The 11,703-nt window shown below is 37.7% G+C and overlaps 1 annotated feature.

The window, feature by feature from the left end:
• Positions 8,804–8,853: an enhancer, noted in NCBI's record as "active region_8409". NCBI's record gives its function as "activates an Ori minimal core promoter by ATAC-STARR-seq in GM12878 lymphoblastoid cells {active_cell/tissue: GM12878}" and the evidence as "EXISTENCE:reporter gene assay evidence [ECO:0000049][PMID:35858748]".

The raw sequence follows: 11,703 nt of genomic DNA, 5'->3' as shown, positions 1-11,703 counted from the left end.
ATATCCAGCCAAACTAAGCTTCATAAGTGAAGGAGAAATAAAATCCTTTACAAACAAGCAAATGCTGAGAGATTTTGTCACCACCAGGCCTGCCTTACAAGAGCTCCTGAAGGAAGCACTAAACATGGAAAGGAACAACTGGTACCAGCCACTGCAAAAACATGCCAAATTGTAAAGATCATTGAGGCTAGGAAGAAACTGCATCAACTAACGAGCAAAATAACCAGCTAACATCATAATGACAGGATCAGATTCACACATAACAATATTAACCTTAAATGTAAATGGGTAAATGCTCCAATTAAAAGACACAGACTGGCAAATTGGATAAAGAGTCAAGACCCATCAGTGTGCTGTATTCAGGAGACCCATCTCACATGCAGAGACACACATAGGCTCAAAATAAAGGGATGGAGGAAGATCCACCAAGCAAATGGAAAACAAAAAAAAGCAGGGGTTGCAGTCCTATTCTCTGATAAAACAGACTTTAAACCAACAAAGATCAAAAGAGACAAAGAAGGCCATTACATAATGGTAAAGGGATCAATTCAACAAGAAGAGCTAACTATCCTAAATATATATGCACCCAATACAGGAGCACCCAGATTCATAAAGCAAGTCCTTAGAGACCTACAAAGAGACTTAGACTCCCACACAATAATAATGGGAGACTTTAACACCCCACTGTCAACATTAGACAGATCAAAGAGACAGAAAGTTAACAAGGATATCCAGGAATTGAACTTGGCTCTGCACCAAGCAGACCTAACAGACATCTACAGAACTCTCCACCCCAAATCAACAGAATATACATTCTTCTCAGCACCACATCACACTTATTCCAAAATTGACGGAAGGAAAACACTCCTCAGCAAATGTAAAAGAACAGAAATTATAACAAACTGTCTCTCAGACCACAGTGCAATCAAACTAGAACTCAGGATTAATAAATTCACTCAAAACTGCTCAACTACATGAAAACTGAGCCACCTGCTCCTGAATGACTACTGGGTACATAACGAAATGAAGGTAGACATAAAGATGTTCTTTGAAACTAATGAGAACAAAGACACAACATACCAGACTCTCTGGGGCACATTTAAAGCAGTGTGTAGAGGAAAATTTATAGCACTAAATGCCCACAAGAGAAAGCAGGAAAGATCTAATATTGACACCCTAACATCACAATTAAAAGAACTAGAAAAGCAAGAGCAAACACATTCAAAAGGTAGCAGAAGGCAGGAAATAACTATGATCAGAGCAGAACTGAAGGAGATACAGACACAAAAAACCCTTCAAAAAATCAATGAATCCAGGAGCTGGTTTTTTGAAAAGATCAACAAAATTGACAGACCACTAGCAAGACTAATAAAGAACAAAAGAGAGAAGAATCAAATAGATGCAATAAAAAATGATAAAGGGGATATCACCACCAATCCCACAGAAATACACACTACCGTCAGAGAATACTATAAACATCTCTATGCAAATAGATTAGAAAATCTAGAAGAAATGGATAAATTCCTGGATACATATACCCTCCCAAGACTAAACCAGGAAGAAGTTGAATCCCTGAACAGACCAATAACAGGCTCTGAAATTGAGGCAATAATGAATAGCCTACCAACCAAAAAATGTCCAGGACCAGATGGATTCACAGCCGAATTCTACCAGAGGTACAAAGAGGAGCTGATACCATTCCTTCTGAAACTATTCCAATCAATAGAAAAAGAGGGAATCCTCCCTAACTCATTTTATGAGGCCAGCGTCATCCTGATACCAAAGCCTGGCAGAGACACAACAAAAAAAGAGAATTTTAGACCAATATCCCTGATGAACATCGATGCAAAAATCCTCAATAAAATACTGGCAAACCAAATCCAGCAGCACATCAAAAGCTTATCGACCATGATCAGGTTGGCTTCATCCTTGGGATGCAACGGTGGTTTAACATATGCAAATCAATAAAGGCAATCCATCATATAAACAGAACCAAAGACAACCACATGATTATCTCAATAGATGTAGAAAAGGCCTTTGACAAAATTCAGCAGCCCTTCATGCTAAAAACTGAATAAACTACGTATTGATGGAACATATCTCAAAATGATAAGACCTATTTAGGACAAACCCACAGCCATTATCATACTGAATGGGCAAAAACTGGAAGCATTCCCTTTGAAAACTGGCACAAGACAGGGATGCCCTCTCTCACCACTCCTATTCAACATAGTGTTGGAATTTCTGGCCAGGGCAATCAGGCAGGGGAAAGAAATAAAGGGTATTCAAATAGGAAAAGAGGAAGTCAAATTGGCCCTGTTTGCAGACGACATGATTGTATGTTTAGAAAACCTCATTGTCTCAGCCCAAAAACTCCTTAAGCTGATAAGCAACTTCAGCAAAGTCTCAGGATACAAAATCAATGTGCAAAAACCACAAGCATTCCTATACACCAATAACAGACAAACAGAGAGCCAAATCATGAGTGAACTCCCATTCACAATTGCTTCAAAGAGAATAAAATACCTAGGAATCCAATTTACAAGGGATGTGAAGGACCTCTTCAAGGAGAACTACAAACCACTGCTCAACAAAATAAAAGAGGACACAAACAAATGGAAAAACATTCCATGCTAATGGAGAGGAAGAATCAATATCGTGAAAATGGCCATACTGCCCAAGGTAATTTATAGATTCAATGCCATCCCCATCAAGCTACCAAAGACTTTCTTCACAGAATTGGAAAAAACTACTTTAAAATTCATATGGAACCAAAAGGAGCCCGCATTGCCAAGACAATCCTAAGCCAAAAGAACAAAGCTGGAGGCATCACGCTGCCTGACTTCAAACTACACTACAAGGCTACTGTAATCAAAACAGCATGGTACTGGTACCAAAACAGATATAGACCAATGGAACAGAACAGAGCCCTCAGAAATAATACCACACATCTACAACCATCTGATCTTTGACAAATCTGACAAAAACAAGAACAAGAAATGGGGAAAGGATTCTCTATTTAATAAATGGTGCTGGGAAAACTGGCTAGCCATATGTAGAAAGCTGAAACTGGATCCCTTCCTTACACCTTATACAAAAATTAATTCAAGATGGATTAAAGACTTAAATGTTAGACCTAAAACCATAAAAACCCTAGAAGAAAACCTAGGCCATACCATTCAGGACATAGGCATGGGCAAGGACTTCATGTCTAAAACACCAAAAGCAATGGCAACAAAAGCCAAAATTGACAAATGGGATCTAATTAAACTAAAGAGCTTCTGCACAGCAAAAGAAACTATCATCAGAGTGAAGAGGCAACCTACAGAATGGGAGAAAACTTTTACAATCTACCCATCTGACAAAGGGCTAATATCCAGAATCTACAAAGAACTTAAATAAATTGACAAGAAAAAATCAAACATCCCCATCAAAAAGTGGGTGAAGGATATGAGCAGACACTTCTCAAAAGAAGACATTTATGCAGCCAACAGACACATGAAAAAATGCTCATCATCACTGGCCATCAGAGAAATGCAAATCAAAACCACAATGAGGTAACTTCTCACATCAGTTAGAATGGCAATCATTAAAAAGTCAGGAGACAACAGGTGCTGGAGAGGATGTGGAGAAATAGGAACACTTTTACACTGTTGGTGGGACTGTAAACTAGTTCAACCATTGTGGAAGACAGTGTGGTGATTCCTCAAGGATCTAGAACTAGAAATACCATTTGACCCAACCATCCCATTACTGGGTATATACCCAAAGGATTATAAATCATGCTGCTATAAAGACAGATGCACACATATGTTTATTGTGGCACTATTCACAATAGCAAAGACTTGGAACCAACCCAAATGTCCAACAATGATAGACTGGATTAAGAAAATGTGGCACATATACACCATGGAATACTATGCAGCCATAAAAAAGGATGAGTTCATGTCCTTTACAGGGACATGGATGAAGCTGGAAACCATCATTCTGAGCAAACTATCGCAAGGACAGAAAACCAAACACTGCTTGTTCTCACTCATAGGTGGGAATTGAACAATGAGAACACTTGGACACAGGATGGGGAACATCACACACTGGGGGCCTGTCGTGGGGTGGGGGAAGGGGCGAAGGATAGCATTAGGAGATATACCTAACGTAAATGACGAGTTAATGGGTGCAGCACACCAACATGGCACATGTATACATATGTAACAAACCTGCACGTTGTGCACATGTACCCTAGAACTTAAAGTATAATTTAAAAAATAAGTAAATAAATAAATAAAAGAATTCTCAACTTGAGAAAAAGGTATTTTGAACTACATGATAATGAAGGTATTTCATATTTGTAGGAAACAGCTAAAGCAGTGCATAGAAGGACATTTATACTTTTAAGTGTTTATTTTAGAAAAAATGCTTAAAATAAATGATCTACACTTCTACTTGAAGATGACAGAAAAAGGAGGAAATTGAACCAAAATTAAGAAGAAATATGAAAATGATACATACAAGAATGAAAAGCAATTTACATAGAAAAGGGACAGAAAATAGAGAAAAGTAACAAAGTCAAAAGTTTGTTCTTTGAAAATGTTAATAAAATTGATTAAAATATAGTAAGACAGAGAAAAAAGAGAATGTACAAGTCACAGTTGTCAGGAATGAAAGAGAGGTCATCACTACTGATCCTAGAGGCATTAAAAGGATAGTAAAGGGGTAGTATGAACAATTTTATGCAAATAACTTCAAGAACACAGATGAACAATACATCAGAAGCAATACTTTATACCTGGAGGTATTGCAGAAATTATTAACATCATCACAAAGTTGAAAGACAAAGGAGTGGTGAATCCTCCTATCTTCATGACAAGTTACCTAGTAATAACAAGTAATTTTGGAGAATATCAGTCGATTATTGTAAAATTAGTTAGGTAGTAATAGTAACTCCAATCAGCTCCTATCCTAGATGTGGGTTCTATCTAGTTTGCTGCAAGACTGCCTATCATGAATGGGTATTATCTTACTTATCAAGTCATAAAATTGGGTTGCCTAGCAGCACTTACTCAACAAGGCTAAGCAAGTGACATAAGACTGAGTTTAAGCAGGCCTTAAATGTACCAGTGAGTTGTGTGAGCAAGCGGCTCACATTCTCAGTGTTCCTACTGTTGATGCATAGCCACATCACCTTCTACCTGCTTACATAGCTTCATGGGTGGGAGGAGTACCCTATGACCAGTTGATTAAAGAAGCAAAACATTAAACTTGATTTTTAGGTGATACTGTGCTATATGCAGACTGTTCTCATTAACCTCAATTGTGTGTGATGACAAGGACAATGATGAAGAGAAATCCTCTCTGTAATAGGCAGAATTATATGTGGAATATCTTTTCTTCACATATCCTGGAAAGAAAGTTGTCCTGCATTACGAGTCTAAAATGACTTATAATCAGTGGCTAATACTTGTCTGGGTCATCAGGGACTAGAGAAGAACAATACTGAGGATTGATAATGAGAGGATCTAGGGGCAGGGTAAGTGGATGGAAACCTCTATTATACCAAGGGTGGGTGGTAGGAGTGGCTTGCCCCAGGTACAAGCAACTTTTTAGAACTTAGACCAGCAGAAAGTTTTTTGAGAGGGAGTATTGTGAACTGGCATTGTTTGGAATTGCTAGCAGATGGTGCTAAGAAGAAGAAGATTAAATCGTAGTTGCCATTATTATTATTATTATTTAAATTATCTGCCAACAATGCACTTCTTATCACCTGCACCTGTTGAACCACTCCCATTTCCCCACCTTAGGTCCAGAGTGTGTCAGTATTGGTGCCTTATGAATGCTCACCAATGGCCCTCAAAACTAAGGACTTTCTCAATCAGATGGCAAAGGATGGACCAGATGGCCAGTTCAGGGATGTAAGTCAGCAGCCACTTTCCTTGGCCACTCCAGTGATTGCTCAGTGAGCTTATTGAAAGTGTGGTGGGAAGGATGAAAATTATATATGTGGGATATGGCTTCTTTCACTGCTGTGTGTCTACTTTGCCAACATCAGAGATTAACACTGAGCCCTGCTATGTCACCATAAATCAGTATCACTGGCCAGCCACCTGGTGGCAGAATAATGATATTGGACTTTTATTGTTGGCAGGGGGTAGGAATTAACCTTACTGGAATAAACAGTCTTATATGAAATTGTCTTCCTTAAAGCACTCAACTCATAAAACTAGAAAAGATAAATAAACGAAATTGAAGAGAGGCATAATAGAGACAAAAACAGAAATACTTTTAAACTACAACAACCACAAAAAAGATTTTAACAATAAAACCTATAGGTCATAAATTGAAAAGACTTATGAAATAGACAAAAACTATTGCTATTCCACTAATAGATTAATACAGAGAGAATGGCAAATAAATATTTGGAATGAGAAAGGCAACAAAATGGTAGATAGGAAAAATTATTTAAGAATCTGTCTTTAGGCTGGGTGTGGTGGTTCACGCCTGTAATCTCAGCATTTTGGGATGCCGAGGTGGGCAGATCACGGAGTCAAGAGATCGAGACCATCCTGGCCAACATGGTGAAACCCTGCCTCTATTAAAAATACAAAAAAATTAGCTGGGCACGGTGGTGTGTGCCTGTAGTTCCAGCTACTTGGGAGGCTGAGGCAGGAGAATCACTTGAACATGGGAGGTGGAGGTTGCAGTGAGCTGAGATCACGCCACTGCACTCCAGCCTCGTGACAGAGTGAGACTCTGTCTCAAAAAAAAGAGAAGAATCTGTCTGTAAGTGTATATCAATAGACTTGAAAATCTTGATTAAATCGATAATTTTCTAGGTAACTGCAAATTATCAAAATTAACTAAAGGAGGTAAAAAAAAATCTGAAATAGGCTAATAAAAGGAATAAAATAAAAAAAGATAGTAAAAGGCCTACCACTCTGAAAAAAGGCACCAGGTTCAGATAGTCTTACGTGCAAATTGTACCACATTCTTAAATATTAGATAATTCCTAGGCCATATAAACTAAATGACATTTACACCTAGTTGATTTTTGACAAAGGTGCCAAGAACACACAGTGGTGAAAACTGGATATCCAAATACAGAAGAATGAAATTAGACCCTTACCTCACACCATATACAAAGATCAACTCAAAATGGATTAATGTAAAACCCAAAACCATAGAACTACTAAAAAAAAAAAAATAGGGGAAAATCCCCACAATATTGGCCTGGGAAATGCTCTTTTTGGATATGACCTCAACAACACAGGAGACAAAAGCAAAAATAGACAAATGAGATTACATCAAATTAAAAAGACAGCAAAGGAAACAGAGTAAAGAGACAGTCTACAGAATAGTGGAAAATATTTGCAAATTATACTTCTAATACAAGGGTTAATATCCAAAATATATAGGGAATTCAAACAACTCAATAGCAAAAAAACAACCCAATTTAAAAATAGGCAAAAGACATGCAAATGACCAATAGGCATATGAAAAAATGCATCATTAATCATCATGGAAATGCAAATAAAAAAAAACCACAGTGATATATCACTTCACTCCTGTTAGAATGGCTATTATCAAAACGACAAAAGATAAGTGTTGATGAGAACACTAATGTAGAGAAAAGGGAATCCTTGCACACTAAGGGAATGCAAATTAGTACAGCCATTATGGAAGACAGTATATAGTTTCCTCAGAAAATTAAAAATAAGACTACCATATGATTTAATAATCCCACTGTTGGGTATATATCCAAAGGAAATAAAGTTAGTATGTTGGGGAGACATCTAAGCACTCCCATGTTTATTTTACCCCTGTTCACAATAGTCAAGATATGGAATCAACCCATGTCCATTAACAGATGAATGGATAAAGAAAATGTGATATATATGTCATATGTATATATGAATATCTTATATATATCAGATATCAGATATATCATATATATATATAAATATTATTCGGCTGTAAAAAGAAGGAAATCCTGTCATTTCCAACCACATGGATAAACCTGGAGGACATTATGTTAAGTGAAATAAGCCAGGCACAGAAACACAAACACCACATGGTCTCACTCATATATGGAATCTAAAAAAGTTGGTCTTGCAGAAACAGCGAGTAGAATGGTGGTTGCCAGACGTTGAGGTGGCTGGTGGGGAAGTTGCGGAGATGTTTGTCAAAGGATACAAAAGTACAGTTAGATAGGCAGAATAAGTTCAAAAGATCTATTGTACAGCATGATGACTATAGTTAATGACGATATATTGTATTCTTGAAAAATGCTAAGAGAGTGGATGGTAAGTGTTCTTACTGCAAAAATGTTAAGTATGAGGTAATGCATATGTTAATTAGCTAGATTTTATCATCTCACAATGTGTGTATACTTCAGAACATTATATTGTAAATAATAAATACATAGAATTTTATCTGCCTATTTAAATAAATTTGAATATTCTTTTAAAAAATTAAATGAAAAAATACTATGTGGCTGGCAAAACTCTGATATAAAACTAGTCAAGGGACTTTCTGTTTCTGGTCCAGCATGTAAGGAGCTTAGAAGTTCACCACTCTGTCCTAATAATAAGTAAAAGTCTGAATAAACTGAAAAATCAGCAGCAATCTGAGACCCATCAGAGAAGTGAGGTCACAGGACTAACTGCAGCCTCCCCAAATTAGAGTGACTGACAGGTGGATACAGAAAATCACAGCTTGTGTGAACAGAAACCTGTGAGCATACACCTCTGTGGCAACGAGTACCAGTGTAGGAAAACATACACTGAAAGTGAAGCATTACCAGAGGCCCAATGTGGACAACTGTGAAAATTACAAACTCTAGGGGACTTCCAATCTTCCGGGGGAGAGGGTGCAGTGGGGTTGTGAGGAAAGGTTCTCACAATTTTGTTCTGCCTCCAGGAACTCTACCAGGTCCTAACAGTGAATATCAGAGAAAAAGCCTCTCGTGTTTCCGCTGGGGAAGGAGACAAGAAACCATTTTAAAATATGCCAGTGCATTCTGCTCTTTTTAGCAAGGCCTTCCCTGAAGAGAAGCTATTTTATCAGAGCCAGTCTGCTGGCATATTATCAGAGTAACCAACCTGGGGGAATACAAATATCCATAGAGTTGTAGCCAACTCTAGCTTTCCATGTAGGGGAAGGAAAATACCCAATGCCAATTCCCTTTAGCCATCCTGTCCCACCTAAGGTGGAAAAAACAAAATTGAGAAACACTGCTGAAATTCACAGTCCAGGGGCAGAGGCTCACCCAAAGACTGAGACCTGATTATAAGACTGTAGAATGCTTCCCCTTGCCACTACATTACTAACAGCCTATTTACTGCAGTTCCTTTTACTCAATACAGCAGGTCTACCTTTCAATAAAAAAGTACAAGGCATACTAAAAGGTAAAGCAAGGGGCAATGGTGCGTGCCTGTATTCCCAGCTACTTAAGAGGCTGAGGTGGGAGGATCACTTGAGTCCAGGAGTTCAAGGCCAGACTAGGCAACATAGTGAGACCCTGTCTCTAAAGATAATAATAATAATCATAAAAGATTTTTTAAAAAACCAGATTGAAGAGACCAAACAAGCATCAGAATGAGAAGTACGTTATGGTAAAAATGTTGGAGTTATCTGATCAGGAATTTTTTTAAAACTCTGATTAGTATGCCAAGGGCTTTAGTGGAAAACTGTCACTAATTCAAACTGTTTTAAAATGCAAAAACAGATAGATAATTTAAGCATATATATTAGAAGGAATAAAAAAGAAATGCTAGAGATCAAAACATTGTATCAGAAATGAAGAATGCCTTTGATAGGCTCATTACCAGCTTGATGAAAGAATCCCTGAACTTGAGGAAGTAACAATAGAAACTTCCAAAACTGAGAAGTAAAGAAAAGAAAGATTGGGAAAAGAAACAAAACAGAATATCCAAGAACTGTGGCCCAACTACAAAAGATGTTAACTCTGTATAATGTGAGTACAAGAAGGAGAAGCAGAGAAAGGGACAGATGTAATAGGTGAAGCAATAATCAGTGAGAGTTTCCCCCAAATTAATGTCAGACGCCAAATCACAGGCCAAGGAAGCTTAGAGAGCACTGAACGGGATAAATGGCCAAAGAAACCTGACATCTAGGCATATTATATTCAAACTTCAGAAATCAAAGTTAAAGAAAAGATCTTGAAAGAAGCCAGAGGTAATAAACACTTAACCCCCCTTGAAGAGCAAAGGCAAGAATTATGTGCAACTTCTAAGAAGATAAGAGAGAGACCACAAATTATGGAAATGAAAGAAGGGAAAAGGACAGATCCCATGGACATTAAAATGACAATAAAGGAATACTATGGACTACTACATGCCCATGAATTTAATATCCTACATGAAATCGACAAATCTTTGGAAGACACCATCTGTTAAAACCTACCCAAGAAGAAATAGACAATCTGAGCAGGCTTATATCAAAGAAATTTAATGAATAATTAATAAGCTTTCAAAACAGAAAGCACCAGCCCAAATGAATTCACTGTTGAATTCCACTGTGTAAGGAAGAAATCTTACAATTTCTCTGCAATCTCTCTTAGAAGTTAGAAGTAGAAAAAACAATTTCTTTTTTTCTTCAAACTTTTATTTTAGGTTCGGGGTACATGTGCAGATTTTTTGTATAGATAATTTGCGTGTCATGGAGGTTTGATGTACAGATTATTTCATCCCCCAGGTAATATGCGTAGTACCCAATAGGTAGTTTTTTGATCCTCTGGCTCCTCTCTCCCTCCACCCTAAAGTAGGCCCCAGTGTCTGTTGTTCCCTTCTTTGTGTCCTTATATGCTCAATGTTTAGCTCCCACTTGTAAGTCAGAACATGCAGTATTTGGTTTTCTGTTCCTTTGTTAGTTCGCTTAGGATAATGGCCTCCATGTTGCTGCAAAGGACATGATGTCATTCTTTTTTGTGGCTGCATAGTGTTCCATGGTGTATATATATATACCACATTTTCTTTATCCAGTCAACTGCTGATAGGCATTTAGGTTGATTCCATGTCTTTGCTATTGTGAATATTGCTGTGATGAACATGTGTGTGTGTGTGTCTTTAGGGTAGAACAATTGATATTCTCCTGGGTATATATACCCAATCATGGGATTGCTGGGTTGAATGGTAATTCTGCTTTGAGTTCTTTGACAGATTGCCAAACTGCTTTCCACAATGGCTGAACTAATTTACATTCCCACCAGCAGTATACAAGCATTCCCTTTCCTCCACAACCTTGTCAGCGTCTTTTATTTTTTTGACTTTTTCATAATAGCCATTCTGACTGATATGAAATGGTATCTCACTGTGGTTTTGATTTGCATTTCCCTAATAATTAGTGATTTTGAATATTTTTTTTTCAATTTCAATAGTTTTTGGGATACAGGTGGTTTTTGGTTACATGAGAAGTTCTTTAGTGGTGATTTCTGAGATTTTGATGCACCCATCACCTGAGCAGTGTACACAGTACCCAATATGTAGTCTTTGATCCCTCATCCCCCTCTCAGGCTTCCCCCTCGAGTCCTCAAGGTCCATTATATCATTCTTATGCCTCTGCATCATTGTAGCTTAGCTCCCACTTGTAAGTGAAAACAAATGATATTTGAGTTTCCCTTCCTGAGTTACTTCACTTGGAATAATGCCCTCCACCAGGCGTGGTGGCTCACACCTGTAATCCCAGCAC

This window comes from Homo sapiens, chromosome 14, assembly GCF_000001405.40.
Source record: "Homo sapiens chromosome 14, GRCh38.p14 Primary Assembly".
Taxonomy (NCBI): Eukaryota; Metazoa; Chordata; class Mammalia; order Primates; family Hominidae; genus Homo; species Homo sapiens.
This window is presented reverse-complemented; position numbering and strand designations above follow the sequence as displayed.